Source organism: Homo sapiens, chromosome 3 (assembly GCF_000001405.40).
Source record: "Homo sapiens chromosome 3, GRCh38.p14 Primary Assembly".
NCBI lineage: Eukaryota > Metazoa > Chordata > Mammalia > Primates > Hominidae > Homo > Homo sapiens.
In genome coordinates this window covers 187,180,117-187,196,883 of record NC_000003.12, presented here as the reverse complement: position 1 = coordinate 187,196,883, position 16,767 = coordinate 187,180,117, and the positions used below count along the sequence as shown (strand labels likewise).

Below are 16,767 nucleotides of genomic sequence, written 5' to 3'. Positions count from 1 at the left end.
TTGCAGACATGTGCCAAGCTCTATGTCAGTGCTTGTAGCTGACTGTGTACTGAATAACTGTGCAATAGGATCCATGCTGCAATGGCCTTGTGCAAGAACAGCCACCTGTGCACAAAGGTAGGAGCATTGCATCAGCCAGGCAGGAGCAGACAAGATTATTTCCAAGCTGATTATAGAAGCGCAGAAGAGGAGCACCACCCACAGGCAAAACAGCCTTTACTATACATGCCTCTGCTGCTATTTTTAATAAATTATTTTTCCTTTTAAAAAATCATATGGGTTTATTCTAGAAAAAATACAAAATATAGATGAAAGAAAAGAGAAGTAAGACTCTTCCATAAAACCCCACCCGAGATGACTACTGTTAACATTACGATATGTACATCCCGCTTACCATTTTTCTGTACATGTACAAGTGTATGTGTGTGTATATACACACACATTCTGTACACCACATACATTCTATATACCACATTGTGACATTTTCAAAAAATAATACGTCATGAATATTTTTCTAGGTCATATTCCGTAGTAGTACATTATGGGCTACCTATATTCTGTTATATGGATAGGCATAATTTATTTAGCCAATCCTGTCTTTTAGGGCATTTTGGTTTTATTTCAGTTTCTCACATTACACTCTTCCCATCTATTTGTATAAACTTGTTGACGAAGCTCATCGCATGCATTAGAAACAACACTTCCTACAATTGGAAAACACGTCTCTTGACTCCACTCTCTCCAAAAGCTTGGTGTGGCTAGCAGAATCTGAGCAGGCTCTTCAAACAGTATGAATTTTGGACAGCCAGCAGATCTTGAAGTTTAGTGATGAAAAAGAGGGACTTAAAATCACCCATCTGATACCAGAAACCATCTTCCAAGTGCTTCTCCTGCCGCTTCATGGATGTTTGATGCCTTGATTTACACTATTTTAACCTCAGTTTATTCATCTTCTCAGTGGGATAATAACAAAACAGTATCTGCTGTGATTAAAAGCAGGGGCTTTAGAATGGCTTGCCTGGTTGTGGTGTTGTTGTTGTTGTTGTTGTTGTTACAGAGTCTCGCTCTGTTGCCCAGGCTGGAGTGCAATGGCACAATCTCGACTCACTGCAACCTCCACCTCCCAAGTTCAAGTGATTCTCTTGCCTCAGCCTCCCAAGTAACAGGGATTACAGGCATGCGTCACCACACCTGGCTGATTTTGTATTTTCCGTAGAGATGGGATTTCACCATGTTGGCCAGGCTGGTCTCAAACTCCTGACCTCAGGTGATCTGCCTACCTTAGCATCCCCAAGTGCTGGGATTACAGGCATGAGTCACCGTGCCTGGCTGCTTTTACAAAAAAAAAAAAATTTCCATATAGACTCATAGGTAGCAATTCTAATGTATATAATCTGTATCTTTTCATCCTAGTAAAAAATACGTGTTAATGTTTTATGTGAATATAATTTTAATTTGCATAGTAACAGCAATCACCATATAGCACTTACTATATAGCAATCACTATACAGCACTTACCTGGTAAGTGCTTAGAAAGCATTGTTCTGGTGCTTTATAAATATTAATTTATTTCATTCAATAACAAACTTGACAGGTAGGTAACAGCAGCAGCAGCTCCATTTTACAGATATGTGAGCTAAAGTCTAGAGGTTAGATAACTTGCACAAGATTTAACAGCTAATAACTAGTTGAACTGGGACTTAAACCTATATGACTGTCTACAAAGCCCCAGCTTTAGCCATTGTGATGCTCAGCGTGGAATCTAGAACATAACATCTGCTAATTAAATGTGTGTTTCTTCATCACTCACGTGGCCGTTACAGACCCCAAGAATTGCAAATGAAGTTTATATCATTTCAGCAAATGGTTCACTGGGGCCCCCCCACACTGAGGCCACATCTCCCCAGAAGAGGGGTGAGTTGTACTTGACCCACCAGGCTCCCTGCTACTGCTGGGGATGCTGCCTCTACTGCCAAACTTAATGAAGCAATGGTGTCCACAGACCCCTGATACTCGGTATAAATATTTTAGAGCTGAGAGAGATATTTAGCTTGAAATCTTACCAAAGAAAATATGGTACAGAAAGTCATCTCTAGGCACAGCAACCCTGTAAAGCCTCAATCATTTGATGCCAGGCATCTTGGCTCAATGGAGAGAGCACTGAACTGGGAGTCAGGAGACACATAGCCCAGCTCTGCTCCTGGCTGACATTGTGACCTTGGGCAAGCCACTAATTTCCCTTGGCCTCAGTTTGTCCATCTGTTCAATGAAGAATTAGGGTAGATGACAAAGGTAAGCTCCCCTCTAACTTCAGTCATGTATGGTTTCAAACAGCTTTATACTTAGAAAACTGAATCCTGGGAGGGCAGGAGGTAGGATGGAGGCCACTGGTTGGAAGAGGGAAGCTTCTAAAGAGGCATGGCAGGTAATGCCTGGAGCCAGGCTCTGTTTCCTGGGGCCTGCTATATAGTTGACGATCTCTGGGGAGGTGCTTCTCTACTAGATTTGTACTGAACACAGCAAGAAGGACAGAAATTAAATATATCAAGCCACTGAACATTAACATTGGAAAACCCATTTTTTATGTAGAGACGGGGTCTTGCTGTGTTGCCCAGGCTGGTCCCAAACTCCTGGGCTCAAGCAAACCTCCTGCCTCCACCTCCCAAAGTGCTAAGATCACAGGCATGCGCCATCTCACCTGGCCGGCATTGGGAAAAACTCTTAAGTTCTTCAGGACCCTTCATTAAACTTTCAGTCCTTCAAGTCAGTATTCTTACCTCTGAATTAAGGCAACCAACACCTAAATAAGTAAACTCGTTTAACAAACCTCACAGATATGATGGGAACTGCCTCAGGTGGGAGTTACTGGCCAAAATGAGAATGGGGGCTGTGGACCTTCCCAGAAAATACGTGAAGCTGAGAGGAGCTTATAACAAACAGTGCTACCCAGAACAAATCCTCTAGAAGTATTTTGCAGGTGTTGCTACAATAAACACTATGATGACAGAAGACAGAAAGTAAGAATCACCAGAGGGGTGTGTGTGTGTGTGTGTGTGAGTGTGTGTGTGTGTGTAACCAGCTGATGCAATCCCCATTGGCACAAATTAAGTTTTATTTAGAACCCAAGCTTGCTGTGCAGAGGCCAATATAATGCATCCTTCTGGATAGCAGAGTATTTTCTCTAATAAAAATTTCTATCAAGACAGAAAAAAATACTGTGGTATTGCAACTTGCTCTCTATCAAATGACCTCTAACACCATGGAATCTACAATTTAGAGAAGGCCAATTCAGACATCTCTAAAGCTGTTGGCCTCACCCTGGTCAATTTCTTAAAGTTTGTGATCATGTTTTAAGTGGATAAAATGCTTTAAATTAAGTTCCCAACTAGAAAATAGAGCAATGAAAAGAAAAAACAAGCCTCTAATTTTTTTTCTTGAAATGATGCACTCATGAAAAATTCTCAACTATGCACAATTTTCTATCCCTAAATGGCATTTGAGAAGAAGGAGGGGTGTGTTTTAGGGCTGGACCCATGACTGGAAGTTTCTACTGGTACCCTGTACCAAAGATCTAAATGTGCCTCACAGTCCCAAAACAAAGACTCTTTCCTTCCAGAATGCCCCAACATTGCTGGACCAGAACAGTAAGCCCCTCCATCTGTTGATTTAATGATATTAAGAGCCCATGTAGTAGTCTCAACTTTAAAGGAATTTTTAATTTTCTTCTCTAATGGCAACATTTTTTTTCCTTGGGTACTAAGATTTCTAAAATAGCAGAGATCAAAGTTATGGGTACAGAAAGAAAAGGGAAAAAAAACTAGTTTACCATTAGGGCTAATTTTGAGAAAGCCAGTCCATTCTACCCTTTAATTCTTGGAACTAAGCACTATATCATCATGGTTGCTAATTCTGAGCATGTACCACATCCTGGAGAACATTATCCTAGCCCTGCAAGGTCCTGTCCCCCAGCTGATTCTATAACTGAGTCTTCCAAAGACCACCACATTGTTCAATCAGGCCAACTACTTCAGGATTATGGGTGATATAGTTAAGACTAATGAATTTCATGAGTGTGAGCTCATTGCCAGATTTCCTTTACTTTGAAATGAGTTGCCAGTCAGAAGCAATGCTATATGGAATATCACAATGGTATATAAGGAATTCTCTAAATCCACTGCTAAGTGCCTGATATGGTTTGGATTTGTGTCCCCACCCAAATCTCATGTTGAATTGTAATCCCCAATGTTGGAAGAGGGTCCTGGTGGGAGGTGATTGGATTATAGTGGTGGATTTCCCCCTTGCTCTTCTGGTGATAGTGAGTGAGTTCTCATGAGATCTGGTTGTTTAAATGAGTGTAGCACCTCCCCCTTCGCTCTCTCTTCCTCCTGCTTCAGCCACGTAAGACAAGCCTGCTTTCCTTCACCTTCCGTCATGATTGTAAGTTTCCTAAGGCCTCCTCAGCTATGCTACCTGTACAGCCTATGGAACCCTGAGCCAATTAAACCTCTTTTCTTTATATTAATAAATTACCCAGTCTCAGGTATTTCTTTTTAGCAGTGCAAGAATGGACTAATACAATGCCCAAATTCCAAAAACAGAGAGAGACCAACACTGAACAATTGATTGGGCCATGATTCCATGGGAAACAACCAACGACCTGGTGGCAAGTTGATTACACTGGACCATTTCCATCAAGGAAGGGATAGACCTTTGTTTTCACTGGAAGAAACAATTACCGTGAATATGGACTTCCCTTCCTCTCCACAATGCCTCTGCCATTTGTGAACTTTCATAATGCCTTATTCACCATTATGGTATTTCTCCACTTGGGTCTTTCCTTTTAGCTGCTCAGGCTTCTTCACTACATGGTAGTTTGTTTCCAAGAAGATTCATTCTAGGAAGAATAAATGGAAGCTTCCAGTCCTCCTTAAGGCTAGAGTCAGAAGTCCCATAACATCACTCCTGTCATATTCTGTTGATGAAAGCAATCACAGGGCCAGCCCGATATAGGGGAATGGGAAATAAACTTCAACTCTTGATGGGGAAATTGCCTGTGCCTATAGGAAGGGAAGGAATTGGTGGCAGCCATCTTTGGAGACTTTCTACCACAGTACCTGATTATTTTTCTTCATCCTTCAAAGAGCTTAGTGCCTTGAGAACACGATGTCCAATTCTATGATGTAGGTAGAGGTTGACATTATTTTGCAAAAAAAAAAAAAAAAAAAAGCAAACTAAGGATCAAAAAGGCAAAGTAGCCAAAGAGTAAACTAATCCAGCAAGTCCAATCCCAAAACATAGCCAGATAGGAACAGTAGGGCTGCTCCCTTTGGGTCAAAGCAAAGGAAAGCATTACAGGTACCCAGCCTGCCAGTACCACCCACCTCTGCATGCCCAGTCATGATTTATAAGAACCTCTTCCTTTGCTTCCCCTCCACCCCAACAGCAACCATTGAACTTCTTTTCCAAGCTCTTGCTCAATTTTGTGAGGCATATGTGCCTACCATCAGCGAGGGCCCTTCAGAGATATACAGCCCAAAATCCAAAGTCCCCCAGTCTTCATTCTCTTGAAGTTTTATCCCCATAAAACTCTGTGTTTTTTTTTTTCAGAGATGGGTTCTGTCTATGTTGCCCAAGTTACTCTTGAGCTCTCAGGCTCAAGCAATCCTCCTTTTCAGCCTCCTGAGTAGCTGGAATTATAGGCACACATCACTGTGCCCAGTCTATGTGTTTTGTTTTTTCTATGTTTGTTTTTTGAGACAGGGTCTCACTCTGTCACTCAGACTGGAGTGCAGTGGTTCAATCATGGTTCACTGCAGCCTCGATCTCCTGGGCTCAAGTGATCCACCCACATCAGCCTCCCAAATAACTGGAACTACAGGCATGCACCATCATGATCAGCTGATTTTTTAATTTTTTTTTTTTTTTTTTTTTTTTTTTTTTTTTTTTGTAGAGGTAGGGTCTCACTGTGTTGCCTCGGCTGGTCTCAAACTCCTGGGCTCACGTGATCTTCCCACCTCAGCCTCCCAAAGTTCTAAGACTACAGGCATGCACTACTGCCCAGTCTCTCTGCTTTTTTTTTTTTTTTCAAGTGCAAGATCTTGTCTTTGAGAAGAGCATTCATCAGAAAATGTTCTATGGATATTACCAAGGGAACAGTGCCATGGTCCAGGAAGTGAAGAAGGGCATACTTGAGAGAAATTATCAAGTCCTCAAAAACTAATTTCCCTATTTTCAGGATATTTGATCTAAAATAAAAGACAGCTTCCTTCCCCTTATTCTGAAGAAGGGGCAAGGCAACATTACATGTGGGGAAGCAACAATGTTATTCATTTATTTGTTTTTTAAAACACTCTGAATTATCAACTACCATGTGCCAGGCTCTATACTGGACACATGGGATATAGAGATAAATTAGTCTCACTCATTTCATGTCCAGTGAACATCAATAGCCAGGTGACCCACACTAACCCAGAGCCTTTGGCTTAGGACATGAAGACTGACCCTTAAGCATGTTCCTGTTGCCAAGCAGCCACTATTATGGGAACGTATCTTCAGACTGTACCCCCAAGAGATTCTTCCTGAAGCAGTTTTGGAAAGATATGCAACCGTTCAACCCTAATAACATTTCATGGAAGGTCTAGTAGGAAATGAAGTCACTGTACATTATCAGACCGTCTTACTGTGGTTGAATGGCATACTCATGGAGTTCAGAAGACAGGACACAACTTTCCTTTACTCTTCCATCAAATCTCCAATAGGTCCACTGAGAGTCCACCTAGAATGCATGTCCAGAACTTCCCCTTATTTTTTCTGGTCTCCTTTCTAGGTCTTCTCTTTGATCTCTTCTGCTCTTCTACTTTCTCTTCAGGACCTTGCTTCAACCTTCGGTGTAGAGTATCTATAAGCTAATAACCTTTCTCCCACTAATACTGACCACATTCCATTGCATAGCTGTCATTTCTTACTATGCTAACAAAGTTTATGTCCCTTTATTCTATTATATCAAAGACCTCTACTCACTAGGGTAAAAAGAAAGAAAGAAAGTGGAGGAAGGAGTAGAAAAAAATCCATTCTGATGCACACTTGCCCTCCTTCTGAGCATGATCTTTCCAAGAAAAGCAATAAAACAAGAAAACTTGGTCCTCTCTTTTGCAAATGAGAGGAAACCGCTCTGGACAGCAGATGTGTATTTCACAGTGGCCACAGAATAAACCTGAATCACATTTGCATTCAGTCACTTTGGCTGAGTCTCTACCATATGACCTGAAAATACAAAGATGTATAGAACAGAATTATGGAGTAAAAGGGATCTTGGAAATTATCTAGTCTAATCCTAATCAGATGTGCCAGTGACTCTGAGACATTTCATATGAAGACATAAATAGGTATAAAATAATCAGATTTTAATTTAGTGAGAAGATGGTTCTTCATATAGAATGAGGAGACTTCACTGTCTATCTTTAGACAGACCCAGTGATCTGGGATTAGGGTTGCCTCTGAAATTGAAGTAATAACCAATGCCTATTGAGAGCCAAGCAGTTACCTAGCCTGAATGTGAACATTTCCAGTGATGTGGAGCTCGTTATCCAGTGATAGCAGCACTCTCTAACCCCTGGCTATTAAGAAGCTCTTCTTTACTGAGTGCCACCATCTCACTTTCAAAACCTTGACTCTCTGTGCCTTGCAATAGAAAGCACTTAACAACGTGCCAGCCCACAGTAAGCAGGCAGTTAATATTGACTACTTTTGGGAAGTGAAAGGGGTGTTGTGGTTTTATTGTTACCACTATTAAAGCCTATGTTTATAAGTTGTGAAATTCTGCATTGGCAGAACACCACTGGCTTGTTTTAGTCTTTAAACATGAAAGCTTTTTTAAAGAATACCTTGTAATGAGCTGAAATGCAACTTTAGGAGAAAGACAGAGCACTATTTATTCTACTCTCTGACATAATTTTCCATAATGGCAAAACAATCTCTATTTGTTAATCTGAATATTATGGAAACTTTCAAGCACATAGAAAAGCAAAACAGACAATGAAACTCCATGTGCCCATCACCCAGCTTCAGTAACCATCAGTTATATGTCTTCTAAAACATTTTCTTTAACCCAATATCTGAGATTTCCTTCAAATAATATGGGTAGGGGTGTAGATGAAATATGATTGACCATGAGTTGGTAACGTTGAGGGTGAGTAGTAGATACATGGACATTTATTATACTATTCTATGTATTTTTGTATATTGAAACTTTCCATAATAGAAAGTAAATAAATAAGCATTTTTCTTTTGCTTACTGCATTAGTCAGAATTCTCCAGAGAAACAGAACCAATAGGAAAAAGAGAGAGAGAGAGAGAGAGAGAGAGAGAGAGTATAAGGGATTGGCTCACATAATTATAAGGACTGAAAAGCCCATGATCTCCCCTCTGTGAGCTGAAGACCTAGGAAAGCTGGTGGTGTAGCTACAGTTCAAGTCAAAAAGCTTGAGAACCCAGAGGACCAATGGTGTAGGTTACAGTTCAAGAGATGTCCCAGTTCAGGTAATCAGGCAAAAGAGTGAATTCTTCCTTCCTCTGCCATTTTGTTCTATTCTATCCCTCAACAGATTGGATGATGCCCCACCTACACTGAGGAGGGCAATCTACTTTCCTCAGTCTACAGATTCAAATGCTAATCTCATTTGGAAACACTTCACAGAGACACACCAGAAATAATGTTTAACCAAATATCTGCACCCCATGGACCTGTCAAAGTGACACATGAAATTAACCATCATTGTTCTCTCCTAAATTTTTGCTTTCAAAACAGTGAACTCATGTCCTTGCTCCTTGTAGCTGTGGACTTCTAGTTTAATCTTCTGGGGTCTGAATTTTTCCATACTGTTCCTATCATTGTAATAATAAACTTACATATGTAAAACAGTTCAAAAATGTTCCTCTTACAGCCTCACATATACTTACCAATGAATGTCTATATTTGAAATACTCAGGGAACACATAAGAGTAGGTAATTAGCACAATACATAGGTCTATTATCTAGAAGCCTGGCTTCTCAGGTCAAAAGAATTGTCATTTTTCTAAGGCCTCAACTTTTGATTGGCTTTGCTTTGGAGGTTAATTTATAAGTTTCCACGGAATTTGGGGGTTGTGATAATTTGACATGGGTGAATGAAATTGGAAAGTCATGTACATCAGGCAAACAGGACAAAAGGCAGTGAAACAACCAGGTGCATCCTTCACTACTAGTCACATCAGTTGTGAAGTCCATTACTTTATCAAAAACTGTTCTCACTTTCTCTTGAAAGCCAATGTTGGTCTCTCAAGGATCTAAGTTAATTCCTTTGTAGACCTCATTCAGGAGAAGAGGGCTAAGGGAGTCCTCACTTGTTAGCCACTAAGGAACCAAGAATCCTCAAACTGCAGATTCTCTCTTTGGTGTCCCAGAGCAGATATTTACTTCCCTGGGACACAATTCTTGACCTAGATTAACTCCTGTATGAATCACAGAGAGAAGTTCCAGTAAGAAAGAGCCCTGATCTACATATCCTGGAGGGAGGCCCTTCCCTTGAGCTGGGTATAGGCTACGCCTCACCTTGTGGTTAGGGGTGGCAGGATGGTTAGTGCCAGACACAGCCTGAAAGAGAAGTAGGAAAGGTGAGCCCTGAGGCTAGAATGGGCAATGTCCCAGGACCGAGAGGCTGGCCAGCAGGGCAGGTGTGAGGTCAGTCTTATTGCAGGCTGTCTGAGGCAGCAGCTCCAGGAGGTGCACCTCTCTCAGCTTCCAGGAGCCAAGCCCTGCTCAGGAAGAGAGATGACTTTCATACCAAGTAGGAGGCCAAGGGGCCTAAAGCTCCTTATCTGTAAACCCATGGGGAACAGATTCAGAAGGCCCTCAAATAAACACTCCAGCCCAGAACCGGCCAAGTCTGCACCAGAATAAACTCATGAGTCATACTGACCCTGGTGTTGCCTTACATGGCAGCTAACAAGGCTGGCTAGTCTAAGGGCTTTGGCATCCGTAGCCTTTTTGGTTTAGCACTACCTTTACTATTTTAACTTCTTGCCGTTGTTTGACTGACTGGTATTTCAGGCATCTTGGACCCATGCTTCTGAAAGCAGCTGACATCTGGTGTGATAAAATGGTGACCTATACCCCTGTATATCTATGCAGGTCTGTCTCAGGCGTAAATATGAAACTCAGTTAATACATTCTACATTGATAACTCTCAGAAACTATAGGAGAGAGATAGTATTAGCAAGACCTGTGTGGAAAGAACAAGAAAGGGAGAAATGACAGGTCTGCATTCTGTCACTGCTGAGACTTGCCATGTGACCAAAGAACGTGGCCTCTCTGCTTCTACATTTCTGTGTACTTAAAATCAGTAGAACCATATTACCTGATCTCAAAGTTTCCTTCCTGCTCTAGCAATTTGTGGGTCACAATTACATGAAACACCTATAGCTTTGGTAAAGGCAAAATGACCCTCTCCCAAACCTCTTAGATACTCAGAAACATATATAAGGAGCTACTTTCTATTTTCCCCATGAAGGAGTATTGCTGTGCTCATAAATTTTCCTTATTAAATATTTTCAGAATAAATATGAAATGATGGCTATCTACAAGCCTCCTCCAGTTTTGTAATGTCCAAAGTTATAACCACTCCCTGATCTAGACAGTTCTTGGCTATACCTTTACCCGAATCTATATGTCCTCCAATATTTCCTGATTCCAAGTAAACTCAGCAGGACCTACACAAAAAAGAAAAAAAAAAAGCATGTAACCATGGAAATCAAGCCCTGCTCTCACACTGTAGGGCTGCCCCACTGGGTGAACTGCTCAGCGAGGCACTCAAGTTCCAACCCATGATCTGGTCTCATTTAACTTGCAAAGCACAGCTCCTACCACCTGAGCGTTTCTCAACAGACATAGCGGATGCTTTTCCTTTCCCACAAAAGGCTGCATAATCCCACCTCCATTTCTTTGTTCTTGCTCTTTCTTCTACCTAAAATGTCTCATTCCCCTCTTCATGGCGCATTCTTTTATCCAGCCTGGTGTTCTTCTCTCCTATTCTCTCCTATACTTGGGCTGAGGAGGAGGCAAGTTTCTATACTCTCTTTAGCAGCCCACATTTTCCATACCACAGCATTTATAAGGATTGCTAGCACTTAATGAGCACTTACTATATGCCAAGCAGGTACCCTGCTAAAGATTTACATTTTCTTCTGATATCAACCCTATGATAGGCTCTTGTTTTTCCACTTTCATGCGCGTCCGTGTGAAGAGACCACCAAACAGGCTTTGTGTGAGCAACATGGCTGTTTATTTCACCTGGGTGCAGGCGGGCTGAGTCCGAAAAGAGAGTCAGCGAAGGGAGATAGGGGTGGGGCCGTTTGATAGGATTTGGGAAGGTAATGGAAAATTACAGTCAAAGGGGGTTGCTCTCTGGTGGGCAGGGGTGGATCTCACAAAGTACATTCTCAAGGGTGGGGAGAATTACAAAGAACCTTCTTAAGGGTGGGGGAGACTACAAAGTACCTTCTTAAGGGTGGGGGAGATTACAAAGTACATTGATCAGTTAGGGTGGGGCAGGAACAAATCACAATGGTGGAATGTCATCAGTTAAGGCTGTTTTTACTTCTTTTGTGGATCTTCAGTTACTTCAGGCCATCTGGATGTATACGTGCAAGTCACAGGGGATGCGATGGCGTGGCCTGGGCTCAGAGGCCTGACATCCACCTTTCATGGGTGACTCAAATAAGCCTTGAAATAATTCAATTACTTGCCCTGGGTTGCTTGGCCAGCAAAGGATTAAAGGAGAGATTTGAACTGGGCAGCCTGGTGGCAGCGCCCACTCTCTTAATCACTGCGCATTGTGATGGCAGGATTATTTGTCTTCTCCAACAAAACGGTTAGCTCTCAGAGGCTCCACACCTGGCTTACTCGCTGATGAACCCCAGCATCAAGTAGAGCACCAAAGAAAGTTGGAGTTGAATGAATGAATTAAATCCTGCCTGCACTGGGAAAAGATTCCCCTGACTGTTCCCACTGGGAAATATGCTGTCTCTTCTCTGACCACTAAAAACTCTTTCCGGTACTTCTGTTACATTTCCCATGTATTTTCGTTATGAGTGAGTTGTGAGGTGACAACAGTTCTAATAGTTCACAAGCTCCTTAAGATCAGGTGCTGTGTCTGCCAGAACTACATGGGCTTAGCGTACTTGTTTGTGAACCCAGGGTGACTTGTAGAGGAAGAGGAGGAATATGTTGCACTTAAAGAAACACAGCTACACTTCCTGCCCTCAGGCATCCTGTGATCAGATTGGATCATGCATTCATAATGCCCCTCTAACATCACAAAAGAAGCAAAGAGGCCGGGCACCGTGGCTCACGCCTGTAATCCCAGCACTTTGGGAGGCCGAGGCGGGCGGATCACGAGGTCAGGAGATCGAGACCATCCTGGCTAACATGGTGAAACCCCGTCTCTACTAAAATTACAAAAAATTAGCCGGGCGCGGTGGCAGGCCCCTGTAGTCCCAGCTACTCGGGAGGCTGAGGCAGGAGAATGGCGTGAACCCGGGAGGCGGAGCTTGCAGTGAGCCCAGATAGCGCCACTGCACTCCAGCCTGGGCGAAAGAGTGAGACTCCATCTCAAAAAAAAAAAAAAAGAAGCAAAGAAACGCATCTGCAAATTTACTCGTGCTGAGTAACCACTGCTTAGAGACTATCTGTCAAGGGCATGATTATCTTATTCTCTGAGGCAACAGGCAGTGATATGTCCCTTGGGTAATAGTATTTGTAGACATTTCAAATGTCAGATTACTGAGCTAAGTAACTCACTAACAGGATGCGGAATTTGCTAACACATAAGAGTCCATCACTGTTGTTACTGGGCTGTTTCTAATGATTGTCTTAGTGTCACACTGTTGTGCGATAATACCTCAGGTTCAGACACTCTGATCTTACAAGAGATGAAGATTATAAATTCTGCCATCAGCCTGTCTGCATTCAAATCCTGGCTTCACCACTTACTGGCTGTGTGACAATTGACCAAGTGACTTGATTTCCCTGGGTCTCAATATCCTATCTTTAAAATGAACAAAATAATGGTATCCATCTTACGAATTTGTGAGAGTCAAATGGTGGCATATGTTAACAGTTCTTAGAATAGTATTTATTATTCATAAAAATGTTGCAGAATTTCGCTTAGTTCAGCTAAAACCTGGGTTCTTGTCACATGACTAGAAAAATTTAGGCACGCAGACACATTGAAGGGTGAGTAGAACAGGGTTTTATTGGGTGAAAAGGAAGAAAAGAAAGAAAACTCAGCAAAGTGAGATGGAGTCCTGCTAACAGACCCCTGACCTCACAGATTTAATCCCAGGCCACACAAAGGAACTGAAGAGAGCAGGCTCCTCCTTTGCTTAAGTTGCAAATTTGCCATAATCCACCCACTTCCTCAGTGTGCGTGTTGGGCTCCAGTCGGCTGTGGGCATGCCCACACAAGCCCTGGGCAGGTTCCCTCATCTGCACAAAAGCATCTGCTGCAAACACTTGTGGGACGGGTCAGAGATTCCCTGGGGATCACTTTTTATCCGCCTAGGCATTTGGCTGTCTCAGAATTGTATTTAACTAACATAGTAAATGTTGAATAAATGTTAGTCATTATTGTATTATTTCTGAGCTAGAATGAGCTTTGAAGATCATCTAGGTCAACTGCTGATCCCAATGAAAGAATCCTCTTTGACCTTGTCTGCATTTCAAACCTCTGCTTGAATACCTCCAACTACACTTACTCACTACTTCATAACCTGCTGGATTTTGACAAAGCACTGTCTTTTGTTAAACTCTTTCTTGAGAGTTTAAAATAAAAACGGGCAAGCCACATGTTTTCCTGTTGCATCCATAGTGACTTTATGTTTGCTTTTTGGACTCACATTGACTACATAGTATCCTTTCCACAACTTCATGGCACACTTCAGATATTTAAAGGCCGCAGCTATTATGATCTTTAGAGCTTTCCCAGCCCTCATCTCAAAACACAAGCCTCAGAAAATGGCTCTGTGACTAACGTCCATTACACACAGGATACTAAAGTCATGGGGGAAAGTAGAGAGGTTTCCAGGTGTCGACGAAAAGAGTCAAACTCTGTGAAATATTTGAAGAGATTTATTCTGAGCCAAATATGAATGACCATGGCCCATGACACAGCCCTCAGGAGGTCCTGAGAACATGACAACATGTGCCCAAGGTAGGCAGGGCGCAGCTTGGTTTTACACATTTTAGAGATGCATAAGACATCAATCAAATACATTTAAGAAATACATTGGTTTGGTGCAGAAAGGCAGAAGAATTCAAAGCAGGTGATTCCAGGCCATAGGTGAATTTAAACATTTTCTAGATAACAATTGGTTGAGTTTGTCTAAAGACCTGGGATTCATAGAAAGAGAATGTTCAGGTTAAGATACAGATTGTGGAGACCAAAGTTCTTTTAAAGTCTTATAGTGGCTGCCCTTAGAGACAACAGGTGACAAATGTTTCCAATTCAGATTTTAGTTAATCTGTTTAGGATTGGGAGGGTCTGGAAGAAAAAGATCTAGCTATGTTAGTAGAGATTCTTTACAGATGCAAATTTTTCCCCACAAAGAACAGCTTTGCATGGCTATTTCAAAATATGGCAAAGAAACGTGTCTTGGGGTAAAATATTTTGATTTTCTTGTCTCATAATGTTATGCCAGAGTCAGGTTGGAAAGCAAATCATGATATATAGGGTTCAATAAAACCCATCTGATGAGAATTTATGATTTGTAGGGCATGACTCTCCAGACCCCTTAGACAGGAATTCGGGCAAGATAAACAAATCATAGGTTAGTCCTCACAGGGAATGCCTCCATACCTGCAGCTTCCAGCTGCCTTCCAGGTATGAACACATGGAAGCACCTCCAGGGCAAGGCCTCTTGGGCTTCTCTTCCACTCTATCCTACTCATTCTAGGCTTTACTCCAGGTCTTTAAGGGATATTTATTTAAAGGAATCAGGACTTATTTCTTCACAATGATTTGCAGCTTGGAGGCCTGCACAGACTTCAGCGTACAGTCGTCACTCAGTATCCATGGAGGGGGTTGGTTCCAGGATCCTCAATGGATACCAAAATTGAGAATGCTCAAGTCCTTGACATAAAATGGCATAGTACTTGCATATCACCCACACGCATCCTCCTGTACACTTTAAATCATCTCTAGATTACTCATAATACCTAACGCAGTGTAAATGCTAGGTACATTGTGTCATACTGTATTGTTTAGAGAATGACAAAAGGTCTGTACATATTCAGTGTAGACCAACCATTATAGCCCTAACTACATTATCTGCAGTTGATATTGAGCTGAGCAGCGCTGTCTCAAGAACCCAGCTCCCTGACCACTCCGCCACCAGGCTTTAACTCTCTGCCTAGGCTGTTTTCTTTTTGTTTTGTTTTGTTTTGTTTCAGATGGAATCTCATTCTGTCACCCAGGATGGAGTGCAATGGTGCAATCTCAGCTCTCTGCAACCTCCACCTCCCGGGTTCAAGCATTTCTCCTGCCTCAGCCTCCTGAGTAGCTGGGACTACAGGCATGCGCCAACATCGTCAGGCCTCTGAGCCCAAGCCAAGCCATCACATCCCCTGTGACTTGCACTTATACGCCCAGATGGCCTGAAGTAACTGAAGAATCACAAAAGAAGTGAATATGCCCTGCCCCACCTTAACTGATGACATTCCACCACAAAAGAAGTGTAAATGGCCGGTCCTTGCCTTAAGTGATGACATTACCTTGTGAAAGTCCTTTTCCTGGCTCATCCTGGCTCAAAAAGCACCCCCACTGAGCACCTTGCGACCCCCACTCCTGCCCACCAGAGAACTAGCCCCCTTTGACTGTAATTTTCCTTTACCTACCCAAATTCTGTAAAACGGCCCCACCCTTATCTCCCTTCGCTGACTCTCTTTTCAGACTCAGCCCGCCTGCACCCAGGTGAAATAAACAGCCATGTTGCTCACACAAAGCCTGTTTGGTGGTCTCTTCACATGGACGCGCATGAAATTTGGTGCCGTGACTCAGATCGGGGGACCTCCCTTGGGAGATCAATCCCCTGTCCTCCTGTTCTTTGCTCCATGAGAAAGATCCACCTACGACCTCAGGTCCTCAGACGGACCAGCCCAAGGAACATCTCACCAATTTTAAATCAGGTAAATGGCCTCTTCTTACTCTCTTCTCCAACCTCTCTCACTGTCCCTCAACCACTTTCTTCTTTCCACTCTTCAATCTCTCCCTTCTCTTAATTTCAATTCCTTTCATTTTCTGGGAGAGACAAAGGAGACACGTTTTATCTGTGGACCCAAAACTCCGGCGCCGGTCACGGACTGGGAAGGCAGCCTTCCCTTGGTGTTTAATCACTGCAGGGACACCTCTCTGATTACTCATCCACGTTTCAAAGGTGTCAGACCATGCAGGGACGCCTGCCTTGGTCCTTCGCCCTTAGCGGCAAGTCCCGCTTTTCTGGGGAAGGGGCAAATACCCCAACCCCTTCTCTCCTTGTCTCCACCCCTTCTCTGCTTTCCTGGGGCAGGGGCAAGTACCCCTCAACCCCTTCTCCTTCACCATTAGCAGCAAGTCCCGCCTTTCTAGGGGGCAAGAACTCCCAATCCCTTATTTCTGCACCCCAACCTCGTATCTGTGTGCCCCAATCCCTTATTTCCGTGCCCCGACCTCTTATTTCTGTGCCCCATCCCCTATT

At 42.7% G+C, this 16,767-nt stretch overlaps 6 annotated features.

Moving 5' to 3' along the window:
- Nucleotides 10,578-11,577: an enhancer, noted in NCBI's record as "OCT4-NANOG-H3K27ac-H3K4me1 hESC enhancer chr3:186903095-186904094 (GRCh37/hg19 assembly coordinates)". NCBI's record gives its function as "activates a minimal SCP1, AML or CMV promoter by ChIP-STARR-seq in naive H9 embryonic stem cells {active_cell/tissue: H9 hESC(naive)}" and the evidence as "EXISTENCE:reporter gene assay evidence [ECO:0000049][PMID:30033119]".
- Nucleotides 13,080-13,581: an enhancer, noted in NCBI's record as "H3K27ac-H3K4me1 hESC enhancer chr3:186901091-186901592 (GRCh37/hg19 assembly coordinates)". NCBI's record gives its function as "activates a minimal SCP1, AML or CMV promoter by ChIP-STARR-seq in naive and primed H9 embryonic stem cells {active_cell/tissue: H9 hESC(naive and primed)}" and the evidence as "EXISTENCE:reporter gene assay evidence [ECO:0000049][PMID:30033119]".
- Nucleotides 13,582-14,081: an enhancer, noted in NCBI's record as "H3K27ac-H3K4me1 hESC enhancer chr3:186900591-186901090 (GRCh37/hg19 assembly coordinates)". NCBI's record gives its function as "activates a minimal SCP1, AML or CMV promoter by ChIP-STARR-seq in primed H9 embryonic stem cells {active_cell/tissue: H9 hESC(primed)}" and the evidence as "EXISTENCE:reporter gene assay evidence [ECO:0000049][PMID:30033119]".
- Nucleotides 15,084-15,585: an enhancer, noted in NCBI's record as "OCT4-NANOG-H3K27ac hESC enhancer chr3:186899087-186899588 (GRCh37/hg19 assembly coordinates)". NCBI's record gives its function as "activates a minimal SCP1, AML or CMV promoter by ChIP-STARR-seq in naive H9 embryonic stem cells {active_cell/tissue: H9 hESC(naive)}" and the evidence as "EXISTENCE:reporter gene assay evidence [ECO:0000049][PMID:30033119]".
- Nucleotides 15,586-16,085: an enhancer, noted in NCBI's record as "OCT4-NANOG-H3K27ac hESC enhancer chr3:186898587-186899086 (GRCh37/hg19 assembly coordinates)". NCBI's record gives its function as "activates a minimal SCP1, AML or CMV promoter by ChIP-STARR-seq in naive and primed H9 embryonic stem cells {active_cell/tissue: H9 hESC(naive and primed)}" and the evidence as "EXISTENCE:reporter gene assay evidence [ECO:0000049][PMID:30033119]".
- Nucleotides 16,086-16,587: an enhancer, noted in NCBI's record as "NANOG-H3K27ac hESC enhancer chr3:186898085-186898586 (GRCh37/hg19 assembly coordinates)". NCBI's record gives its function as "activates a minimal SCP1, AML or CMV promoter by ChIP-STARR-seq in naive H9 embryonic stem cells {active_cell/tissue: H9 hESC(naive)}" and the evidence as "EXISTENCE:reporter gene assay evidence [ECO:0000049][PMID:30033119]".